The following is a 27,127-nucleotide window of genomic DNA, read 5'->3' on the forward strand; positions in this document are numbered from 1 at the left end:
GTGGTGCCTACATATTGTGCAGAACCATCTGTGAACCAGGCCCTACTCTTCTCTTCCTCTGTCAACTGATCATAGGGAACTCTCCATGAGGTCATCGGTGCAGGTTGGGGAAGAGAAGGCAGGGTGGAAGGAGTGGAGACCATGAGCATTTGAGGCATTTCCTCGTGTAACTTACTTGTGCCTTCAGGACCTGCTCGAGCCGGATCGCCTATATACCACTTCCATTTGATGAAGGAATACCGCTGTGCACAACCCACATAATGGCTAGACGGGTCAGAAAGCATCCAGCTTATGATAGGCAGTTCAGGTCACATGGTGACTTGATGACCCATAGTCAAATGTTCCGTTTCCACCAAAGCCCTGGTAACAGACGAAGAGCTGTCTTTCAAAAGGAAAGTAGTTATCAGCAGAAGACGGCAGGGCCTTGGTCCAAAATCCTAGAGGCCTCCTCTGTAATTCACCTATGGGGACCTGCCAAAGGCTCCAAACAGCATTCCTATCTGCCACTGACACTTCAAGCACCATTGCATCTGCTAAGTCATATGGCCCAAGTGGCAGGGCAGCTTGCATAGCAGTCTGGACCTGTGGCAGAGCCTTCTCCTGTTCTGGACCCCACTCAAAACTAGCAGCCTTTCGGGTCACTCGATAAATGGGCTGAAGTTGCACACCCAAAATGAGGAATGTGTTGCCTCAAAAATCCAAATAGGCCCACTAGACATTGGGCCTCTTTCTTGGTTGTTCGAGGGGCCAAATGCAGCAACTTATCCTTCACCTTAGAAAGAATATCTTGACAGGCCCCACACCACTAGACCCCTAGAAGTTTTACTAAGGTAGAAGTTCCCTGAATTTTTAGTAGGATTTATTTCCCATCCTCTGACACACAAATGTCTCGCCGGTAAGTCCAGTGTGTTTGCTATTTCTGGCTCACTGGATCCAATCAGTCATCAATGTAATGGACCAGTGTGATATCTTCTGGAAGTGAAAGACAATCAAGGTCTCTCCAAATAGGATTATGACACAAAGCTGTAGAATTGATATACCCCTGAGGTAGGACAGTAAAGGTATATTGTCGAGACCAGCTTGGTCGAGGGGACCCTAAGCCAGCGGCGCTAGAGGAATTAAAGACCCACACACAGAAATATAGAGGTGTGAGGTGGGAAATCAGGGGTCTCACAGCCTTCAAAGCTGAGAGCCCCGAACAGAGATTTACTCACGTATTTATTAACAGCAAGCCAGTCATTAGCATTGTTTCTACAGATATTAGATTAACTAAAAGTATCCCTTATGGGAAACAAAGGGATTGGCCGAAATAGAGGGATGGGTTGGGCTAGTTATCTGCAGCAGGAGCATGTCCTTAAGGCACAGATCACTCATGCTGTTGTTTGTGGTTTAAGAATGCCTTTAAGCGGTTTTCCTCCCTGGGCGGGCCAGGTGTTCCTTGCCCTCATTCCAGTAAACCCACAACATTCCAGCATGGGCATTATGGCCATCATGTCACAGTGCTGCAGAGATTTTGTTTATGGCCAGTTTTGGGGCCAGTTCATGGCCAGATTTTGGGGGGCCTGTTCCCAACAGTATATTGCTGGCCTTGCCAGCTGAAGGCAAATTGCTTCTGGTGGGCCTTATGGTCAGAAATGGAGAAAATGCCATTTGCCAAATCAATGGCTGCATACCAGGTAACAGGAGATGTGTTAATTTGCTCAAGCAATGAAACCACATCTGGTACAGCAGCTGCAACTGGAGTCACCACTTGGTTAAGCTTATAATAATCCACTGTCATTCTCCAAGATTGATCTGTCTTCTGCACAGGCCAAATGGGAGAGTTGAATGGAGATGTGGTGGGAATCACCACCTCTGCGTCTTTCAAGTCCTTGATGGTGGCACTGATCTCCACAGTCCCTCCAGGGATGTGATATTGTTTTTGATTTACTATTCTTCTAGGTACAGGCAGCTCTAATGGCTTCCATTTGGCCTTTCCCACCACAATAGCCCTCACCCTACCAGTCAGAGAGCCAATGTGGGGATTCTGCCAGCAGCTAAGTATGTCTATGCCAATCATGCATTCTGGCCCTAGGGAAATGACCACAGGATGAGTCCAGGGACCCACTGAAGCCATTGTAAGTCAGACTTGAGATAAAACTCCATTAATTACCTGTCCTCTATAAGCCTCTACTTTAACTGGATACCATAATGATGTTTTGGGTCCCCTGGAATCAATGTTAGCTCAGTGCCAGTGTCCAGTAGTCCCCAAAATGTTTGATCATTTCCCTTTTCCCAGTGCACAGATGCCCTGGGAAAGAGCCAAAGGTCTCCTTGGGAATGGATGGGAGAAAGATTCACTGCATAAATTGTCAGTAATATAGTGGGTTCCTTCTTCAAGGGGACTCAGCCTCCCCTTCATTCAAGGGGCTCTGGGTCTGTAAACTGGCTCAAGTCTGGAAATTGATTAAGGGGCCATGATGACCTGTTTTTATAATTCAAATTAGTCTTTTGTCTATGCGACCTAGAAGTTTTCTGCTTATATAAATTAAGTAGGAATGCAGTAAACTTCCTATTAATTTCACTTATAGTAACACCATGATTAATTTGTCAATGCCAGAGCTCTACACGAGTCAGATTATTCTGATTGCTGCTTTGCCTCTGCAGTCCATGATGGTAGCTATGCCCACCTTGCCTTTGATGGTTGAGTTCCACCAGTTGGCCCCTGCCACCTCATGATCCAATTATTCCTATTGTATTTAAATTTTGTAGTTGAGTGACTGTGGTTCTCACAGTTAGATCTGACATACAGAGCAGAGCACCCACAAAGCTCTTCAAAGATGCAGGCACTGCCCTCACAAATCTATTTCACAGGGCATTGGTCAAGAGTATATCTTCTGCACCCTCCCAGCTGGGATAAGTAGGTCTAAAGTGACTAATCCACTCCACCATCCCGATCTCCTTAAGTGTTTGGATCCCTTTCTCTACATTAAACCAAGGGAGATCAGGCATTTCCAGCTGGGTCACAGTGGGCCATCTTTTAATCCATATTGCAGCTAACAAAGCAAATAAACTATTAGAACCTTTCTGTAACTCCCCAAGCTGCAACATTAAATGCAGAATCCATACTTATTGGGCCCAAATCAATAAATTCAGCCTGATCCAACTCTTATGTTCCTTCTATCCTTATCCCACACCCTTAATATCCATTCCCATGCCTGTTCTCCAAATTTCTGCTCATATAAATTAGAAAACTCAAGCAATTCTTTTTGAGTGTAGCACACCTCCTCATGGGTCACACTTTGAACCTTACCTCTAGGGTCCCACCAGGACTTTAGTCTAGAAGGAAACAGGAGTGTTTGTGGTGGCTCCTGAGGAGAATCAACATCATCTTGCCTGACAACTGCCTCAGGGGAGGCCATCACTCTTGCCTCAAGCAGCACAGGGTTTATCTCCTTAGACAAAGGTGGAAAGGCTGATGGCAGCATGGATCAGGGAGGGGATGTTGCCACTACTTGGGATAGGGAAGCTGTTTCTTCTGGCAAAAAAGGTTCATCAGAGTTTACAAACTCAGTGTCCCCAGCTTCATCAGGGTCCTCCCACACGTCCCTATTCCAAGTTACAGGGTCCCATTCCTTTCCAATCAGTGCCCTCACTTTAACAGTGGACACCTGGCAAGGCTGTGCATGCATCTTTTGTTGCAGGTCAGCCACTCACATAAGAGTCTGTGTCTGTTTTTCCCCAATTTCAGCTCTTTCTCTACAGGAGCTAAGACTCTCACTTAGGGCAATCTTAGCAGATTTGAGGCTCAATATCTGCTTCTGAAGCAGAATCCCTGAGTTCATCATTTTCTTTCATCACTTTGTCCACTGAACTTAGGAGCAACCAATCAACTTCATTATGTTCCTTGGTTCTCCACATATGGTCAAAGGTATTATGTATAGAGTCATTAAACTCCTTGCCTCTCATGAGTGGTGAATCAGGAGTATTAAATGCATTTACTTTGCATAACTGTCTAAACAGTTTCCGCCAAGCACTATCAGTGTTTTCATACTATTAGAAGTAGAGTCCTTAGCATTTTTTGGTCTAATCATATTAAGCAGCCAACTCCAGAAACCCCAAAACCAGTGAAATAACCCCATTCTTAATATTCTGTTCCTCTAGAAACACTCCTGATACCAAAATGTATATTGGTCAGGGCGTCGGGGCTCTATAGAGGGACAGAACTAATTATATATATATGTGTATATATATGTGTGTGTGTGTGTGTGTGTGTATATATATATGTCCCTCTATAGAGGGACAGAACTAATTTTTATATATATATATATATAGGTGTATATATATATATATATAGGTGTGTGTATATATATAGGTGTGTGTATATATATAGGTATATATATACATATATGTATATGTATATGTATATGTAAAGGAGAGTTTATTAAGAATTAACTCACACAATCACAAGGTTCCACAACAGGCCATCTGCAAGCTGAGGAGCAAGGAGAGTCAGTCTGAGTCCCAAACTGAAGAACATGGAGTCCAATCTTCGAGGGCAGGAAGCATCTAGCTTGGGAGAAAGATGTAGGCTTGGAAGCGAAACCAGTCTAGTCTTTTCATGTTTTTCTGCCTGCTTTATATTCTGGCCACTTTGGCAGCTGATTAGATGGTGGCCACCCAGATGAAGGGTGGGTCTGCCTTTCCCAGCCCACTGACTCAAATGATAATCTCCTTTGACAATACCCTCACAGACACACCCAGGATCAATATTTTGCATCCTTCAATCTAATCAAGTTGACACTCAGTATTAACCATTGCAGTCAGTATCTTTTCTTATACTGGTTGGCCATTTATATATCTTCTTAGACAAATGTCTATTTAAGTTCTTTGCCCATATTTTAACTGAGTTATATTTGTTGTTGTTACTGTGGAATTTCCTCACATATTCTGAATAATAATCTCTTATCAGATATATGATTTGAAAATATATTCTTCCATTCCAAGGGTTGTTTTTCACTCTGATGAGTGTTTTCTTTGTTGTGCAGAAGTTTTAAGTTTCATGTAGTCCCATTTGTCTATTTTTAGTTCTGTTGCCTGTGCTTTTGATGTCATATTCAAGAAATCATTGTCAAATACAATGTCCTTAAGCTTTTCTTTTATGTTTTCTTCTAGGAGTTTTATAGTTTTAGGTCTTGGTTTTAGGCCATTAATCTATTTAACCCATTGTGAATACATACTTTTCTATGGTGTAAGGTAAGGGTCCAAATTTATTATCTAGCTCAGCTCATGATAATTTTATGTCAAAGTTTTTAGTTGCTTCTTAAGCTGCCCAGGTGTCATTCTGAAAAAGATCTATTTTTGTTTTTTTGGTTTTTTTTTTTTTTTTGAGACGGAGTTTTGCTCTTGTTGCCCAGACTGGAGTGCAATGGTGCGATCTCAGCTCACCACAACCTCTGCCTTCCAGATTCAAGCGATTCTCCTGCCTCCGCCTCCCAAGTAACTGGGATTACAGGCATGTGCCACCATGCCCGGCTAATTTTGTGTTTTTAGTAGAGATGGGGTTTCTCCATGTTAATCAGGCTGGTCTCGAACTCCCGACCTTAGGTGATCTGCCCGCCTCAGCCTCCCAAAGTGCTGGGATTACAGGCGTGAGCCACTGTGCCCGGCTTGTTTTTTGGGGGTTTTTTGAGATGGAGTCTCGTGCTGTTGCCACGCTGGAGTGCAGTGGCACGATCTCGGCTCACTGCAACCTCTGCCTCCCGGGTTCAAGCGATTCTCCTGCCTCAGTCTCCTGAGTAGCTGGCATTACAGGCGCCACACAGCTAATTTTAGTATTTTTAGTAGAGATGGGGTTTCACCATGTTGGCCAGGATGGTCTTGATCTCTTGACCTCGTGATCCACCCACCTCGGCCTTCCAAAAAGTGCTGGGATTACAAGCATGAGCCACTGCGCTGGGCCAAGATCTGGTTTATTTTATCATGCCTTCGTTTTTTGTCTTTCTAAGTCCCTTCCTGGTTTGTCTTTTATTTCCCCAATCTAAAATTTTAACCCTCTCGCTCCTATTTTTTCCAGATTATTCACAACAGGAGGGATTTGTGTATACTAGACTCAAGTTTTGCAGTTGAAGAACATGTATACAAATATAATACTAGTAATAATTAGTAGTAGTAAAATAATTGATAGAGCCCATAGAGCTTTCTCAGTGGAGTATATTTTTTTTTGAGTAAGTTTCGTCTGTTTTTCAACTCAGAGGTTTTTCTCAAAATGTGTTGAACATAATTTAACATCTTATATGGAATATAATTTGATATACCACTGGTTTATGAAAATGCCAATTTCACAAGGGTCAATCCAATATATTCATGAAGGAGATGTATCCATCATCATCATCATCATCATCATCATTATCATCTTTTATTAAGCACTATAAGTGCCAAGCATTGTGCTAAGTATCTGATATATTTCTTTGCCTTACCTCTTAGCAACTCCACAGATAGTCCTGGAAAATGTTCAGGGCAAATTATTAGATAGTTATTTGTTTAATGAAGGAAAATTGCCTGCGTAACTATAACTGCCCTTTAAAAATAGATTCTGGTCACTGAAAGTCCATTTTGTTCTCCTGAACATTTTGCGTTGTTCGGGATATACAATGATAGGACTGCATCTCAGTTAGAAAATAAGAGTTGGAAATATTTTGGGGACAGCTTGATTGAGTGAGAACTTAAAGTTCCTTGGGGTAATAAGGTGGGGGATAATGCAACAAGATGTAAAGGGTGGTGGTGAGAAAAAGGAATGAGCAGATGTCACGTGTCTAGGACCTTGAGAGGCATAGAACAGATTCTCGCGATTTGGAGGTCAAAGTAAACAACAACAAAAAAGCATCCAGTACAGTTAGTTTAAAAGAGCTGTCACTAGTTAATAATTACTAAATAAGTTTAAATTATTTTTAAAAATAATTAGATGAAATCATAGAACAATAATTATTGGTTTAGTTATAATAGTTATAAATAACTATAGGCTCAGCAAAGACATAATGTTTAAGTGAAATATGGTGAAATATCATGGCATCTGTAAAAACCACATCTCTAAGCATAGTTAATGAAACCGGAAAAAGTAGAATATTTAGTTGTATAGGCCCAATGAGCCAAATTATAACAGGGAAAACTGGAAGGCTGTACTTCAAAATATTAACAGGCTCTCTGTAGGTCACCAGATCATAAGAGATCATCTTCTTCCTTTTCTGTAGTTTCTAAGTGTTCTACAATGAGTAAGTTTCAGTTCCTTAAGATTATAATTTTTAGAATTTAATTCATAAAGCATCATTTTAATTATAAAAATAACTTTTGAATAATGTAAAATTCACAATTTAGGAATATATGAGTAACTAACAAGTATTATAAAAATGGAATAGTGCAAAGTCAAGTATAAAGAAGCTCTCAGATTTTAGTATGCCAAAAGATCCAAAATTATCTCATGCATTAAGTATTCCATAGCATTAAGCCTTAGAAAATCACTAGAATAATAATCCAGGCTTATAACTAAAATTCCACCAAGAGAGGATAGTTTATAATTCTTAATGAAACCAGTAACAAAATACAGTAACAACATAACAAATCCCAAAATAAATACAAATCTTTATCTAAATTAGCATTTTCTCTAACCATTTAACATACCTAGTCTAGATCAAAGACTCACAGCCTAAAGAGGGGTGGCAAAATTATTACAAATACTACAAATACATATGGTCATCTAACACTGTGTGTAATCTGAAAAATACCACACATATGCACTATTGTTTTCTAAATATATGTTGATGATATGGAGAATAGCAAAACACAATTATATTTAAAAGTTTTACCAAGTTCACATAGGTAATATATCTTCATGTTCCTAATCAATGTGTATTATGTGGGAATTCGGCTATGTTTTCAACACTGGATGTGTGCAACCTCTACAAAAAACAGTAAAAACCATATTTTGATACAATCCGGGAAATCAGTTATTAATTGAATATTATATGGGACCAAGAACAATTTTTAATTTTGTTAAGTGTTATGATGTCATTGTGGTTATGTTAAAACATTGTTATGTAGAGGTGAAATAATATAAGATTTGCTTTCAAATATTTCAGCAAAAAAAAAAGGAAAAAGTGATAGGCAAGCAAATATAAACTATTGATAGTTTTTGAATCTGAGTAATGGTTATATCAAGGTTATATGGTACTATTTACTCTACCTTATGAATGTTTATAATTGTTCTTTGATATTAGAAAACTTGAAACTGGGTCATTATACTGAAATCTTGGTGACTATTGAATTAGGTAACTTTTAAAAACATAGCAAATAATGTTTTAAGAAAAAGAAGTGGGAAAAACTGTTCAATATTTTTTTCTCAAAAGGGTTATCTCAATTTTTAAGGTACCTTTTAACCTGTTGGTAGCTCCTGTATTAATATCAAGATACAGTTCACATGACCAAGGAGCCAGGTTATCAAGAGTGTATATTCTACTCCTATACCTTGTGCATAGTCAATTTCTGGGCACAGAGCTAAACATTTCAAAACAGCAATAAAAGGAACAACCTTGGGTGATTCCTTTCATACTCCCCAAAGAAGATTAGGAAGGATAAGAATCATCACTAGGAAAGGGCTGAATGAGAATATATCTTATTCCTCAGGTATTAATAAAATATTGGTCTCAGAAACACAGGATTATAATTTTTGTAAGAAGTAAACCAACTTAGATAATTGTAACAAATCCCAGTAGGCAAAGGGTTTATAATTTTTGGAAGTAAAACTGCCCATTTAGAAAACTAGAATTGATTCTGTTCAAATAATTGTACCCACAGAGTAAGCACAGTCAACAAGTTTACCAAGATCAGACACCAGCACTCAGATAAACAATCTAAAAATATTCAATTCTGCTGGGGGATGGAGGGGAGAAGAAAGAAGCAAAGACAAAACTACAGGTATTTAATTTGAGTTTTACTATATTACAATTGTTACTTGTGCCTAATCAGAAATATATCTTGAGGTCTAAAAGTTTTAGAGTAATTATCATTTTTAAAATAAAAATGATAAAAATGGCTCTCCCAAAAAGCCATGAAGTGGCATCTATGATTTTCTACTTCACCCACCTAGATAACCCACCATCAGAAATCAGTCATCATTCTCACTGCTGACCACCAAACCTAGATTTTCCTCCAAAATATAGCACACCTGAGACTTATGGACAAAATGAACTTATAGCTTGAGTTACATGTTATAATATTCCAGGGTGCCTCTTTTTAATTCCATTTTGTATACTAAACTAAACACTATGGAACATTTTCCTAATTGGGGTATTGTTTCTTCTTATTTTTAATTTGTTTAAGCTCCTGACAGCCCATCTCAAACAGAAACTTAAAGGCTAGCCATGTAAGTGAATATAAATGAATTGACCTGGTCTCAGTTTATCTACAATTCATTTATTACAATGTACCTCAATCACTCATCAATTCATCCATTTACTCAGCAAAATATTGATAAATCACCTTTAAAAAACACCACAGGCACATCCTGTGCTAAGTACTAATAATACAAAAATAAATAAGAAGACATGGTCTCTGCTTTTAAGGGGCTCTAATAACAAATGAAAACAGTAGATACAAAAACAACTAACAAAACTCCAACAAGGGCTATAGTAGAGACATAAACAGAAGTGATTTCAGAGAACATAATGAGAATGTATTGTGAACTAGTTCATCTCAAATTAATTAAAATAATAATTGTAGGATTCTGGAATTGTGTATGGGTCTCCAAGCTACAAAGAGGGAGAGGATGTGCAGGTGGAGAAAAGCAGACTAATTTTCAAAATACTTTACTGCATCATTCAACCCAGTGTTCTGGGGATCTTTGGGCTCTGAACCAACTTGAATTGGGGATATGATTTTCATTTGCAGGATGTCAGTTTCCTATACAGTGGCATAGGCCATGAGCATGCCAAACCAAACAACAAACAAACAAACATAAAACACGGTGGGTGTGGAAACTTGGCTCTGTGAATTTCTTCCATACTTGCATTTATTAGGGCAGCTGCTCTTTCAGTCTCTGATTCACTTTGCTTCAGATCCCAGTCCCTTTTGGTTTTCTCTATTTGGATTTAATAACTGAGTCCTGGATCCTTTAATGCTAAATAATAGGCTGCATAGGGCACTGCCTCTGGTTATTACTTTGTCCATTACAACTATGCCCTAATACCAGGCCCAGGCCTGGGGATACTGCTGGCCACTTAACCCTTGGGGTAGAGGGAGGGAGATGCCACCCCATGACACTGCCACACCCAGAGCTTACACTTGGCATAGTTACACCTTTTCCAGCACTGACCACTCTCCCTGCATTTTGCATCCTCTCATTCCTGTTGCAATGTCCAGAGCCCTCATGATGCTTCCTTGCTCTCTGCTTCACATAATTCTTCATTCTCCCCAACCAGCGTTTTCTGAACAGTACCCAACATTCCAGACTTTTCCCACCCCCTCTTCCAGTTTCTGATCCTCATTTAAGTGAATGCCTCATCCTACCAAGGATTCAGTTTCTGCAGAGGAAAGTTGACTCATCTATAAGTCTCTAAGCAAATAGAAAATAAAATAAGTTTTAAAACAACAGATTGAAATCTCTGCCACCGAGGGCTCAACACGACCCTTTATGTAGCAGCGCGGGGCGCAGAAGGAATTCAGGGACCCTTTTCCCACTTGCAGTGACTTTTGATGCATGTGTTTCAGTAGCTTCTGGAGATGGGCTACGTGGAAATACAGAACGATTCTCAAGTAGATTTGAGACAACTCCGAGGAGTCTGAGAAATTTGGGGGAAGAATTTGAACTTGCCTGCAATTCCCAAGCAGTAGAGGAAGTTGGTCGGATGATTACTTGCAGGTTCGTGTTGTCTGTGAAAAAAACAAGTTTGATTAAATAATCAGCAAAACCTGGATAGTCAGAAAAGACTTGAGAGCAAGTGAGAAAATTCCAAGTATCCCCTCCATCTTTCTTTTAGTACCTAACACAGTACATGACACATAGAAGGAGCACCACAGATATCTGTTCGATTACACCCTGATTGCACTTACTGCTCTCTGAGGCCAAAAGATATAGGGTCGAACGTTTTGAGCAGAAAATAACTGGCTCAAGGCTGAGGAAAAACAACAGTAACACGAACCATAACAACAAAATCTACGCTGGGAGCGGTGGCTCACACCTGTAATCCCAGCACATTGGGAGACAGAGGCATGCGGATCACATGAGGCCAGGAGTTCGAGATTAGTCTGGCCAACATGGTGAAACCCTGTCTCTACTAAAAATACAAAAAAAAAAAAAAAAAAAAAATTTAGCTGGGCGTGGTGGCACACGCCTGTAATCCCAGCTACTGGGAAGACTGAGGCAGGAGAATCGCTTAAACCTGGGAAGCGGAGGTTACTGTGAGCCGAGATCGCGCATGGCACTCCAGCTTGGGCAACAGAGCGAAACTCCGTCTCAAAACAACAACAAAAACCTAAGGAGTGAGATAAGAATAAAGACGTTTCTTTATTCCTCATAAGAACCCCTCACCAGGTCCTTCCCTAGAAATAAGCTAATTATTGTTAAAATTTATTCAGTTAAAGGAAAAAACGCCATCAATCCTTTTCTTTCCTCCTTCCCTTCATTATTCAGGTTTCTGAAAGTCTTCCCACTGGCAATACCTCAGAAGGACACCAGAGGACGATGTATTTTAACTGTTCGGATTCTCTCTAAAACCCCATCTTTCTTTTTCAGAGTCTCAAATCTCAACTGACAAATTAACCTAAGAACTATTCCACGAAATAAAGTAGAAGCAGCATGCCTTGTAGAGAAGCCGTGGTATAATGTATTATACTTTAATATTAATATTGTATTTTACACAGAATTTCTGCGAACTGCATGAATACTGATGATTCCAAGCCTAAACAAGAGGGGGAGTACAATCACAACACTCTGGAGATTAGGTGCTTAAAGCTTTCGAAAACGGCAGCCCGCTTTGTTACTGTGGCCGGTTCCTGGCTGGGAACAGGCTCCTTTTCGGCACTACCTACTTGATACGTGTGATGTTGTCACAAACATCTAGAAAAAACATTAGTTCTCAGGAAAAGAATAACAGGAGACACGTATATTGCCATATGAAAACAAGTATACATACGTGTGTATGCATGTGTATATTTGTACAAATTATGACCCCCTCGAAAACCTATGATCAGTGTCTCAAATATTAACATTACAGATAGTATTCCATCATTCCTGACTGCAACTGACAGGAGTTTCACTGAGAAGTGAGGATCGGAGCTTTGGTGACTCAGCTCTTTGTAGTCACCCCAGCAGGGTGTGTCATATGAGGGCCACGGAGCATGCATCATCCTGAGGAAGGTGTTTAAAACCAGCTCCCCTCGATGAGACAATCTCAGCGCTCCCTCTAGCTAAACCTGGCCTTATTGCCCTAACTCTAGTACACCAGATTTAAATATGCTTCACATAAAATACATTTGTCAAAAAGTACTAGAAATTAAGCACTTAGAAGCAACATCCAACTTATTAATGAAACTATAATTTTTCCTCAATATCTCAGCAATGATGAAGTAAACTAACTTTAGGGTAGACGTTAAAGCGTTATTTGCCATACATTTTTGCAATTCTAGCCCTCTTTAAACCTACTTGCAGAAAGTTATTAGCCCCAATGTCCATAAAATCCTTCTAAAAGAAGCTAATTCTTCTTCCCCAGCACCCAAAGTTGTTTGTGTTTTCTGTGAAGATATATTTAATATTCAGAAATTACTCTGTGACTTGCAAAATACAACTGACTCAAAATATATAAGTAGTGGGAGGGATTCTAACCTATAAATAAAAACCTCTTAAGTCTCAAAACATTTTAAGTAATTTTAAAACATTTTAAAATTTTAGAAAATAATTTATTGAATTAAAATAGTCAGCAATTACTGGTTATTACTAACATGAGCAAAATCACTGACAATTCAACTAAATTAAATCTATGAAAATCTGGGATTTAAGAATAATGTATTTATAATTTCTACAGAGGACAAGCCATAAATATTTTAACTTGAGAGTCTCGCATATATACACATTGTGAGCTAAATTAATCAAAACACTTGCTTAAAAAATTAACTATGCTTGAGGTGTCATGGTAGAGATCATATTTTAATGTATCAGAAAGAGATTTGATGCTTGACTAATTTCATTTAAGTGCATATTTCTTGATTATCATCCAACATCCCAGAATCTTATTTCCCTCATCTGAACCAACAATTAGAAATAGAGCAAATATTATTAGACAACATCCATGAAAATATATTCAACTTCATTACCAAAGAAATGCAAATTACAATCTATATAAGAAAAATATAAAAATAATGAAGTATTTTTAAATCAATAAAATATATAGTTTTAATGAGCACATGATGAAACTAGTATATTCATACATTGCTAGTTTTAATAAATATTAAAGCAAGTCATTTTGTAAAACAATTTTGCAGCATAGTTCAAAATATAGGATTCCATTCATTCGGAAAATCCAGAAGTAATAACTGAGCACCTCCAATTCACCGATTTAGGGACTGGAAATGCAATGACCAGCGTAAAGTGACACACCATCCCCGTGCTCATATTGCTTGCTGTTCGGTATTATTTTAAATTGAAAGGAAATAGTTGTATGCAGGTGACTATTCTCTGATATTCTCTGAACATAATTTAAATGCCTAACAGTTGGAAAGGCAACAATTAAATTTTAGCTTATCAATATCCTGTAAAACTATATAACCAATAAAATGAGAATTATGAACAAAGCAATTAGAAAAATGTTTCTGACATAGTATTTGCTGAATGAAAAATAGGAATTGATAATGTGTCATGCATGTAAAAAATAACATGTATAGAAAAAGTCTGGAAAGGAACATTAGAAGAATTTGATGAATTCAATATTTTATATCATGTTCTCCATTACTTTTTGTCACAACAGTTTTATATAATCATTTGAAAGTATTAGTAACTGAGAAAAATAACGTCTTTTCTATAGTGGACATCATAAAACTTACTGTGGCTATCTCACACAATTGTAAATATCTAATGTGTTTCCTGAATTAAGTTTCATAAGAATTCTGTATAGTTTATGAAAAATTTAATTTTGATTGTTTTTTGGAAACCATTTAATCTGTGAGATAATTTTTTGCTACTTACATTAATCTAAACATACTTTATATATCATATCTTTCTATTATTCCCTTATTTGATATTATTAGTTTCCTGGGGCCAAATGAGTTTGGAAATGCTAAACTAATAATGTAAAAGTACTTTGAAACCTGTAAAATGCTTCGTAAATGAAAGATTCTATTATTGTAATGAATGGCTCCTTGATTCATCTTGTTGGGTTTTTTTTTTTTTGTTTCTACTAAGAGGGTTGCCTTAATAAGATTTTTATCTTGAAAAATCTTTCTTCTGTTCCTTCTCCTTATGAGTAAGAAAGATTGACTTTCCCGAAGGGATGTGAAGACATAGTTGGTTTATTGTGTTTAAAACACTTAGAGAAGACTGATAAAGTAAGCCCTTACACCATGAGAATGGTAAAATATCATGCTCACAGGGTGAGCCACACACATCACACACTGTGACATTGCCTGAACCTAGACAACACGGGAAAAGCCATTTTTCTGCAATTCCTGAGCAGAAACAGAACATCTGAAGTTAGAAGGAAGATGTGTGCAAGGTGGAGGGTGCAGTGGGATCACACAACCCCTATCTTCAGCGTTTCAGAATGAGAGAGAGGAATTTTAATTGAAGGGATAATGAAAGTTTTGTTTTCTATGTTTTCTGTTTATGTTGTATTTGTTTAGCTACTTCTTTTTTCCTACAATAAAAAGCTGAGGCAGGAGGTTACTAAGGATATGGGAAGTTGTGATTTGAGAGGAGAAGAACCCGCAGAGCTGACAAGGAGACCTGAGCAGACTGGAGAAGGAACTTAAAGGAGGAGACTCAACTCCTTAAGAACCACTAAAAACAACCCACATGACATAACTTGTCCTATGACTATAGAAGAAATTGAAGTTATAGTTTAAAACTATCTGAAAAAGAAACTCCTGGCCTACATGGTTACACCAATAGATTCTACTAAATATTTGTGAAGAAATACAATTCTGGGCTGGGCGCAGTGGCTCACGCCTGTAATCCCAGCACTTTGGGAAGCCAAGGCGGGTGGATCACCTGAGGTCAGGAGTTCAAGACCAGCCTGGCCAATATGGTGAAACCCCATCTCTATTAAAAAAAAAAAAAGTACAAAAATTATCCAGGCATATTGGCGCACGCTTGTAATCCCAGCTACTTGGGAGGCTGAGGCATGAGAATTGTTTGAGCCCAGGAGGCAGAAGTTGCAGTAAGCTGAGATTGTGCCACTGCACTCCAGCCTGGGCGAGACTCTGTCTCAAAAAAGAAAAAAAAAAAAAAGAAAGAAAGAAAGAAAAGAAAAGGAAAGACAATTCTGCACACTCTTCCAGGATATAGAAGAAGCCTAATGCTTTATATGAAAGTTAACACAAAATGAATAAGAGATCTAAATATAAAACATGAAACTATAAAACTAGTTTTGGCTTTCAGTCAGCTATAACTAAATGTACTATAACTAAACATTCTATAACTAAACATTCTTCCCTTCAAGTCACTTCTTTTTGAACCCATTTTTTAATCTATAAATTGGAAGACTAACACCTCTTAAATTGTTACCTGGAAATTATTGCAAATATCAAAAGAAAAAGTATATGCAAACTATTATTATTATTCTCTGATAACATTCCCTAATCTTTAATTAGGTCAGATGCATCAATCAGATATTAATAAAGAGTATATTTCATGTAGTTTTGAGTTCTTGAGGAATACCAGAATTCAGGGAAAGAAATTTGTCAAATCTAGATGATTTGCCAAGTCTAGATGACTGAATTAACAGTAATAAGTGGCCCTATATTTTTAGAACGGATTGTCCTCAGTGTATGTTGAATAAAATCAAATATATTTTCTTTTGTATTCTTTATGGTTATGTACACCTGATTGGTATACTCTTATAAAGGGACTTCTAAATTTATTATTATGACCTATGTTATTAGACCTAGTGGGTCAAAAGAAGGAGGCATAGGCGGGGCACAGTGGCTCACGCCTGTAATCCCAGACTTTGGGAGGCCGAGGCGGGTGGATCACGAGGTCAGGAGATCGAGACCATCCTGGCTAACACGGTGAAACCCCGTCTCTACTAAAAATACAAAAAAATTAGCCGGGCGTGGTGGCGGGCGCCTGTAGTCCCAGCTACTCGGGAGGCTGAGGCAGGAGAATGGCGTGAACCCCGGGGGGCGGAGCCTGCAGTGAGCCAAGATCGCACCACTGCACTCTAGCCTGGGTGACAGCGAGACATCGTCTCAAAAAAAAAAAAAAAAAAAAAGGAAGGAGGCATATAGCTGTGAAGAAAGATCATTCCGAAGTGTTTAAAAAGCTGTAGTTTGCTGGAGAGCAAGGGAATCTAGCTAAAGCCTCTTAGAAAAATTCAAAGGATGATAAGACTTCCGCTTCCAGAAAGATGAAGTAGATGTACTTTTCTGTATTTCTCCCTCTAAGAAAAACTAACTAAAATCCCTGGAAATTGTATGTAAAACAAAACAAGAAGATCCTGAAAGAAGAAAGCAGATTAGTCAGAAACCTCAGGACTGGAAAATTGACATGTTGGTGAGTTACCTGTTTGTTTGTTTGATTTCTGGCTCATATATTCTAAACTGGATTCAGGAGAAGCCGGAAATGCTAATAAGCATGAACAAAAAAGCTCTGAATATAGCCTGTGTTCCCCAGCCAAAAGGCCAAGAGAAGGTCAGTCTAGCAAGACAAAAAACTTTTAGAAAATAACTGCTCTTCTGTATCTAAACACCACACACACACACACACACACACACACACACACACACACACACAGACACCCCTGTGATCTCTCCCCAACCCATGACAGAAAAAACAAAGATCAGAAGAGACCTAGTGGGGAGCAAAAACTCTGACCCTCACTCAGTAGTAACAAGCAGCCCCCTTCTCCTTGGGTGTCAATAGAAACTGAGTGGAGATCCTGGACTTCTACCACAACCTGGCAGTAGATAGGCAGTATCTGTCACTTCCTCTGCCAGACAGTGTTAGAGGAAGCCAGCTTAAAAAAAAAAAAGGTTTAAAGATGATTCAGAGTCTCATAATCTAATATCCAAAATGTCTAGATTTCAATTAAAACATGTGTCATACTATAAACTAAAAGATCTCAAACTCAATAAAAAAGACAATCAGAGATGAATTATCTCTCAAAGATTTTAAAGCAGCTATGATAAAGTGCTTCAACAAAAAAATATAAATGTGCTTGAAACAAATGAAAAAATAGAAAATGTCAGCAAAGAAATAGAAAGTTTCACTCAGCAAAAAAATAAAGAAGAAGAAGAACTCCGTGGAAATTTTAGAAATAAAAAAAAAGAAAACACAGCAAAAGAAGAAGAAGAAGAGAAGGAGTAGGAGAAGAAGAGGAAAGAAGAAGAAGGAGAAGGAGAAGAAGAAAAGAAGAAGAAGAAGAAGAAGAAGAAGAAGAAGAAGAAGAAGAAGAAGAAGAAGAAGAAGACCCCCCAGCAATTTGAGAGGTCAAAGAGGGAGGATCACTTGATCCCCGGAGTTGGAGACCAACATGGTTAAAATGGGAAGAGAAATAATTAGCCAGGCATGGTTGCACATGCCTGTGATCCTAACTACACAGGAGGCTAAGGTGAGAGGATCGCTTCAGCTGGGGAGAGGTAGAAGCTGCAGTGAGCCATGAGTATGTCACTGTACTCCAGCCTGGGCAACAGAGCAAGATCTTGTCTCAGAAGGGTACATAGGTATGATTCCATTTATATAGCATTCTTAAATCCCAAAATTTTAGAAACGGGAAACATATTAATGGTTGACAGAGTTAAAGAATGGAATGGAAAGGGTAGCATGAGGGATCTCTACGCTGATGGAAATATTCTGTATCTCGACTCTGTCAAATTAAATAACCTGATTGTAATATTGTATTATAGTTTTGCAATGTGTTACCATTGGGGAAAATTGGGTAAAGGTTACAGGAGCTCTGTCTGTATAATTTTTCAAAACTGCATATGAAGCTATCATTATCTGAAAGGAAAAAGTTTAATTAAAGGACAAAGCATTCAAGCTAATATAATATTATTTTCTCTTAACAAATTATGAACAACTTTATGCCAACACACTTGACAACTTAATTGTAATGAACAATTCCTTGAAAGACAAAATTTACCATACCTGAGGCAAGAAGATATAGAAAATATAAGTAGCCCTGGGACTATTTTTTAAAAACTGAATTCATAGTCAAAAGCCTTCCCACAAGGAAAACTCTACAACCAGGTAGATCGTTTGGTTAGTTCTATGAAGCATTTGAGAAAGAAGTAATACTAATGTTACAAAACTTTCTTTGAAACAATAGTGTAGGAAGACTCTTACTCAACTTACAATGTCAGCATAACTCTAATATCAAAACCCAACAAGAACATTATAAGAAACACAATTATTACCAAATTGAATCCAGTAATATGTAATATCTAAAAGGACAAAGCATAATAACCAAATAGGGTTTATCCCTAGTGATACTGTTTGGCTCAGTGTCCCTACCCAAATCTCATCTCAAATTACAATCCACACATGCTGAGGGAGGGGTGTGGTGGGGGGTGATTGGCTAATGGGGGCGGTTTCCCCCATGCTATTCTTGTGATAGTGAGTGAATTCTCATGAGATCTGGTGGTTTAAAGGTGTGTGACAATTCCCCCGACCCCAGGCTGCCATGTAAGATGTGTCTTGCTTCCCCGTTGCCTTCTGCCATGATTGCAAGTTTCCTGAGGCCTCCCCAGCCACGTGGAACTATGAGTCAATGCAACCTTTTTTCTTTATAAATTACCCAGTCTCAGGTAATCCTTTATAGCAGTGTGAAAACAGGCTAATACACCTAGAATGTAAGACTGTTGTAATATTCTTCTAATACTTAAAAAAGCACAGACGCCTCCATGGTTGAAGCCTGGTGCTTGCAGGGATGTTGGGGACCAGGATGAGAGAACTCTCCTGATCTATTGGTTGAGGACCTTCATCCAGAAGTCTCTGCCTGAAAACCAAGAGGGGAGGAAACTGGAGTCTAGTTATGGGAACGCTGCTACCCTTCAGGGAAGATGTGAAATAAGATCCATTTTTGGAGTTATTTATTCTGATTTTTGAGAGTGTCAAATGTAGTTTTCAAATACATAATCTTTTGAATGTTATCAGCTTCTACTCTTCCAAGAAAGAGGTTGGTTTAGTTCATTATTTAGAGCAGTGCGATTATTCCGTACATCAACTTGTTTCTGGTTCCTTCCAGCAGGAATTTCTCCCATACCTTGACCTGTGCTCCACTTTCCCATGGACTACAAAGCCAACTGCTATTTGATAAGATGGAACCTTCCTCCCTGAGACATAGGCCCAGAAGAAAAATTTTAGTTAGCCAGTTAAATGACCATTCAGTGCTATAAACATCAGGAAAATGGAACCTTCTAAAGAATTGCTAAAGCTTTGTTGTTGCAATTCCAGCTTCTCTCTGCCTAAGCTGTTTTACCCCAGGATTCAGATCTATCTGGGTAGTTGGAAGCCTGAGGGACAGAGAACCCCTATGGGAAAAAAAATAACTCATTCTAAGGAAATGATAAAGTACAGTAAGACCATGGAAGTGGAAATATTTTTTTTTATTTTAGTCCCTAAGATGGTCCTTCTGTCTGGTCCCTGTGATCCAGTATTAGAATTTTTTAAAAAATCTAATTTTTTTAAAAAAATTTTAGTATTAGAAAATTAAAAAATTTTAGTATTAGAATTTAAAAAAAAATTCTAATACTGGATCACAGGAACCGGACAGAAGGACCATCTTAGGGACTAAAATAAAAAAAAGATTTCCACTTCCATGGTCTTACTGCACTTTATCATTTCCTTAGAATGAGTTTTTTTTCCCCATAGGGGTTCTCTGTATAGACTGGATTAAGAAAATGTGGCACATATACACCACAGAATACTATGCAGCCATAAAAAATGATGAGTTCATGTCCTTTGTAGGGACATGGATGAAGCTGGAAACCATTATTCTCAGCAAACTATTGCAAGGATAAAAAACCAAACACCGCATGTTCTCACTCATAGGTGGGAATTGAACAATGAGAGCACATGGACACAAGAAGGGGAACATCACACACCAGGGCCTGTTGTGGGGTGGGTGGAGGGGGGAGGGATAGCATTAGGAGATATACCTAATGTTAAATGAAGAGTTAATGGGTGCAACACACCAACATGGCACATGTATAGATATGTAACAAACCTGCACATTGTGCACATGTACCCTAAAACTTAAAGTATAATAAAAAAATTATAAAGAAACATATTCTTCATTTCATTTAAATTAGAATATCTACAAGAACTGGAGATCACCAAGAAGCTCTGCTTTGTAGGCTGCTTTGTAGTGCAGGGGTAGTGAAAAGGCTGTGTTGAAGCCAGGTGAAACACAGGTGGGCACTACCCCGAGAATGGATCTAGATCAACCAACACCAACAGGCAGAGAAAGAGAAAGCATCAGATTACTGCATGAGTGGCAGGCATCACTTGGCAGCCAGAGCTATAGAACAGAAACATGAGAGATGGCTGTAGAGCAAAAATAGAAATGTGATCATGGAGAAGCAACATTAAGAGGCAAGCATAGGAAGGATTCCAGGAAGATGGCAGAGTAGGAAGCACCAGGAATCTGTCTTCCTACTTAGACAACAATTGCACTGGCAGAATCTGATATAACTATTTGGGAACTCTGAACTCTACTGAAGGTTTACAACTTCCTGAAGAAGGCTTAGACAGTAAATTGTGATTAATTTCAGTCAATTTTGTTTCTTAGTATGAAGAGAGAATCTTGAAACCAGCAAGAGAGAAGCAACTTGTTACATACACAAGATTCACAATAAGATCATCAGCAAATTTTTCGTCAGATACTTTGAAGGCCAGTGTTATAAGAAAAAAAATCTGCCAACAAAAATTCTATATCTGGCAAAATTTTCATTCAATAGTAAAGGAGAAATTAAGACATTCTCAAATAAACAAAAACTTAAGGAGTTTATTCCCATTAGCTCGGCCCCCAGCAAATGCTCAAGGAAGTTATTCAGGGTTAAATGAAAGGACATTAAACTACCTCAATGCCAGGTGAAGAAATAAAGATCTTAATAAAGGTAAATACATGGGCAATTATAAAAGCTAATATTATTGCGACTTTAGCTTGGAGCTCCACCTTTTGTTTCCTAGGTGATTCAAGAGACTAATACATTTTTTTTAAAGTATTAGTCTAAAAGTTAGGGCCAGGCGTGGTGGTTCACACCTGTAATCCTAGCACTTTGGGAGGCTGAGGTGGGCAGAACATGAGGTCAGGAGATCGAGACCATCCTGGCTAACACGGTGAAACTCCGTCTGTACTAAAAATACAAAAAATTAGCCAGGAATGGTGGCACACACCTGTAGTCCCAACTACTTGGGAGGCTGAGGCAGGAGAATCGCTTGAACTTGGGAGGCAGAGTATGCAGTGAGCTGAGATTGTGCCACTGCACTCCAGCCTGGGCGACAGAGCAAGACTCCATCTCAAAAAAAAAAAAAAAAAAAAAAGTTAGTGTTACTGTAACTTTGATTTGTAATTCCACATTTTGTTTTCTACATAATTTAGGAGACTAATGTATTTAGAGGGATGATTGGCTTGTGTTTTGGAGCACATCATATATAAAGGCACAATTTTCTGATATCAGTAACCAAAAATGGTGGAGATGAAGCTGTAAAGGAATAGAATTTGTGTACATTATTAAATGACAGCTAATATGAATTCAAGTTAGACAGTTATAACTTTAGGATATTATATGTAATTCCTATGGTAATCACAAAAAAATCTACAGAATATATACAAAAGGAAATGAGAAGGGAATTAAAATATTTCACTTAAAAAAAACTAAACACAAAAGAAGACAGCAACATGGGAAATGGGGAACAAAAAAACTACAAGGCATATAGAAAACAAAGAGCAAAATGACAGAAGTCCCTCCTTATCAGTAATTACTTTAAATGTAAATGGATTAAGCACCCCAATCATAAAACAAAGATTGTCAGACTGGAAAAAATCACATGATCCAATTCTATGCTGTCTGCAAGAGACTCACTTTAGATACAAAGACACAAATAGCTTGAAAATGAAAGGATGGAAAAAGATATTCCACGTAAATAGTAACTTAAAGAGAGCAGGGGTGGCTATACTAATATCAGGAAAGATAGACTTTAAATAAAAATGGTTACAAGAGACAAAGAAAGACATTATAGATATTAACAAAAATGTCAATACAGCAAGAAGAAAAAACAGGAACATTTACATACCTAATGACAGACCTAATGGCATTAAATTATACCAAGCAAAGCATATCAGAATTGAAAGGAGAAATAGACAGTTCTACAGTAATAGTTGGAAACTTCAACACCCCACTTTTAATAATAAATAGAACAAACAGAAAATAAGTATCAAAATAGAGAACACAATAAGCCAACTAGATTTAGCAGATAGATACAGAATATTCTACCCCAAACAACAGCATACACATTCTTCTTAAGTGCACAAGGGACTTTTTCTAGGATAGAAAATATATTAGGCCACAAATTAAGTTGCAATCAATTTAATAAGACAGATATCATATAAAATAGCTGATCCCGATGCATTAAATTTAGAAATCAATAACAGAAGTAAAACTGGAAACTTCACAATTTTGTGGAAATTAATCAACACTTTTTTTTTTTTTTTTTTTTTTTTGAGATGGAGTCTTGCTCTTATTGCCCAGGCTGGAGTGCAGTGGTGCGATCTTGGCTCACTGCAACCTCCGGCTTCTGGGTTCAAGCAATTCTCCTGCCTCAGCCTCTGGAGTAGCTAGGATTACACATGCCCGGCACCAAGCCCGGCTGACTTTTTTTGTATTTTTAGTAGAGGCAGGGTTTCACCATGTTGGCCAGGCTGGTCTCAAGCTCCTCACCTCAGGTGATCTGCCTGCCACTGCCTCCCAAAGTGCTGGGATTACAGGCGTGAGCCACTGCGCCCAGCCACAAGACATTTTTTAACAATGAAAGTCTCAAAGGAGAAATCATGAGGGAAATTAGGAATACTCAGAGATAAATAAGAGCAAAACACAACTTGCCAAAACTTATGCAGTGGAGTGAAAACAGTGCTAATGGATAAATTTAAACACATTAAAAAACAAAAAGATCTCAAATCAATGACCTAACTTTACAACTGAAAGAACAAGAAAAAGAACAAATTAAACTCAAAGCTAGCAGAAGGAAGGGAATAATAAAGATTAGAGCAAAGACCAAAAAGATAATAGAAAAACAATACAGGAAATTAATAAACCCAAAAGTTAGTTCTTTGAAAAGATCAACAAAATTGACAAACCTTTAGCTAGATTGACTAAGAACAAAAGACAAGAAGTAAATTACTAAAATCACAAATGAAAATAGGAATATTACTATCAATTCTACAGAAATGAAAAAAGATTATAAGAGAGTAGGTATTAGGATCAATTGTATTCCAACAAATTGGATAATCGAGATGAAATAGACAAATATCAAGAAATACAAAATTTACCAAGACTAAATAATGAAGAAATCGAAAATACAAATAGTACTACAACTAGTAAGGAGATTGGTCAGCAAGCAAAATTCTCCTGGCATAGAACAGTCAGCCTGGACCTAATGACTTCACTGGTTAATTCTATCAAACATTTAAAGAACTAAAACCAATCCTTCTCAAACTTTTCAAAAAAGTTGAAGAGAAAAAAACACTTCCTACTCATCAGGAACTAATTTTGAGGCCAGCATTACCCTAATATCAATGCCAGACAAGATTGCTATAAGGAAAGAAAACTACAGACTAATATCCCTATGAACATTGATGTAAAAATCCTCAACAAAATACTAGCAAATTAAATTCAATGACATATTTAAAGCATTATACACTATGACCAAGTGAGATTTATTCCCAAAATGCAAGGATGGTTCTAAATACAAAAACTAATCAATGTAGTAATATACCACATTAACAGAATGAAGGGGGAAAAACTTTTATGATAATCTCACTTGAGGCAGAAAAAGCCTCTGACAAAATCCAACACTCTTTTATGATAAAAAAAAAAAACTAAACAAACAAGAAATAGAAGAAAACAACTTCAACATAATAAAGGTCATGTATAAAAAAAAAACACAGAAAACATCATACCCAGTGATGAAAAACTGAAAGGTTTTCCTCTAAGATCAGAAATAAGACAGAGATGTTCACTTTTGTCACTTCTACTCAACATAGTACTGGAAGTCCCAGCCAGAGCAATTAGGCAAGAAAAAGAAATAAAACACATCCAGGTGGAAAAGGAAGCAGTAAACATTTGAATTAGTTGTGTTTGTAGATAATATCCTATATGTAGAAAACTAAATATTCTACAAAAAACCCTGTTAGAGCTAATAAATGAATTCAGCAAAGCATCAAGAAACAAAGTCAATTCAAATAATTAGTTGCATTTCTGTACACTAAAAATGAACAATTTGAAAATGAAATTACTAAAATTTGTGTACAATACCATCAAAAAGAATAAAATACTTAGGAATTAACTTTACCAAGGAGGTGAAAGATTTGTACAATGAAAATACAAAACATTGCTGAAAGAAATTAAAGAAGACATTAATAAGTGGTACTACATCTTACATTCATGGACTGGAAGGCTTAATATTGTTGTCAATATTACACAAAAAGATCTACAGATTCAAGGCAGTCCTTATCAAAATCCCAAGTATTTTTTTTCAGAAATAAAAACCCATCCTAAAATTCATGCGTAATGTCCAGGGACCCCAAATATCAAAACAATATTTAAAAAGAGGAACAAAGCTAGAAGACTTACATTTTCTGATTTCAAAATGTGCTGCAAAGCAACAGTAATCAAAATAGTGTGGAACAGGCATAAAGACATACATAGAGATAAGTGAAATAGAATAGAGAACTCAGAAATAACCCTCACATACATAATTAAATGATTTTTGACAAGTATGCTAAGACTAATCAGTGAGGAAAAGAGTATTTTTAACAAATGGTGCTGGGAAAAACTGGATAACTGCATGCAAAAGAGTGGTGGTGGACCCTTACCTAACAACATATACAAAAACAAGCACAAAATGGATCAAAGATCTACATGTAAGAACCAAAACTATGGCAATCTTAGAAAGAAACACAGGGCAGAAGCCTTACAATATTGAGTTTGACAATGATTTCTTGGATATGAACCAAAGCCATAGGCAACAACAACAAAAATAGACAAATTGAACCTCATAAAAACTGAAAAACGTGTATCAAAAGACAATATCAACAGTTAAAAGGCAACATACAGAATGAGAGAAAATATTGCAAATCATGCTTCTGATAAGAGATTATCATCCAGAATAATATAGAGAACTCCTCCAACTCAACAACAGAGAAACAAACAATCCAATTCGAAAATGGGAAAGAACTTGATTAGACATTTATCCAAAGAAGATATACAAATAAACAATAAGCACATAAAAAGATGTTCAACATCACTAATCATTAGGAAAATGCAAATCAAGACTACAATGAGATACCACCTAATACCCATTAGGATGCTATAATCAAAAAGATTCAGAAAATAAGTATTGGTGAGGATGGGAAGAAATCTGAACTCTTGTGCACCGTCAATGAAAATCTAAAATGGAACCATTGCTGTAGGACGCATTATGACAATTCCCCCCAAAATTAAAAATGGAATTACCATATGATCCAGCAATTCCACATCTGGGTATATACACAAAAGAATTGAAAGCAGGGTCTTGATATTTGTACGTCCATGCTCATAGCAACATTATTCACAATAGCTAAAACATGGAAGCAATCCAAGTGTCAACCCACAGATTAATGGATAAGCAAAATGTGGTATATACACAATGGAATATTATTCAGCCTTAAAAAAGAAGGAGCCCTGAGGAAATGATGCTGCATGAAATAAACCAGTTGCAAAAAGATAAATACTTTATGTTTCCACTTATATGAGATACTTAAAGTAGTAAAAATCATAAAGACAAGAAGTAGAATGGTGATTTCCAGGGCATGGGAGGAGAGGGGAGGGGTTCTTATTTAATGGGTATAGAGCTTTAGTTTTACAAAATGAAAAGAGTTGTGGAGATGCATAATGGTATTGATTGCACACTGTTATGATTGTTTTAACACCATTGAACTGTACACTTAAAAATGGCAAAGATGGTAGATCTTATGTGTATTTTTCCACAATAGAAAGTATTGCAGGGGAGTTGAACAGAGGAAAGACATGCACAGGAATGAGATTCCAGAGGAATTTCAGGTGGGCTGGAGCTCTTGGAACTCTAGTTGGAAGAGTTTGGGAAAAATTATTATTTTTATTTTTATTGTCTGGAACCAGAGCTTGTAAGTCAGTGAGCAGGGTTTATATTTGTATTCGCAACAGTGCCTAGCCCACTCTTGCTCCTGATGGCAAGTCAGTAGCTATTTACTGATTAATGATATATTTTCTTGATTTATTTTCTTAGGTAGTCTTTCTCTGCAAACTAGGAGAGAGGATTATGATTCTGGCATTATGGAGAAACTACAAGGATGTGCTATAAACCACTGGACTTCTAGTCTGGGAAAGAAAATAGCAATTAAATGAGAGGGGCTATTTGGAAACAATAACTATTTAAATTATTTCGGCTAAGTATCAGCTGGGTTAATGCCAAATGGTTTGTAGTTCTAGTTATCATAGATAGAACAATTAGCTGAACTCCAGCATGAGAAGAAATGAGGTTGTTTTGAAAAAAAAAAACATGAAAAACTAAACAACTTGTAGCTAAAATACACGCAAAACATGCTGTTTTTGCTATACACGTGGTTTTGCTGACAATTTTTGTTTTGTTTTTTAAATTCCTATTTATATAATAAACATTGGTGTTTATTTTGAATGGTATGGATAACAT

The 27,127-nt window shown here is 37.4% G+C and overlaps 1 long non-coding RNA gene across 1 annotated transcript in view; it reads right to left on the reverse strand.

Annotated features, from left to right (window-relative positions):
- Positions 1-27,127, reverse strand: part of TARID (TCF21 antisense RNA inducing promoter demethylation) — a 386,755-nt gene that overhangs the window by 55,095 nt on the left and 304,533 nt on the right. The window contains exon 5 of the long non-coding RNA NR_109982.1: positions 10,844-10,902. This is a non-coding gene — a long non-coding RNA (TCF21 antisense RNA inducing promoter demethylation). The remainder of the gene's footprint in view (positions 1-10,843; positions 10,903-27,127) is intronic.

The sequence above is a fragment of the Homo sapiens genome, chromosome 6 (assembly GCF_000001405.40).
Source record: "Homo sapiens chromosome 6, GRCh38.p14 Primary Assembly".
Lineage (NCBI taxonomy): Eukaryota > Metazoa > Chordata > Mammalia > Primates > Hominidae > Homo > Homo sapiens.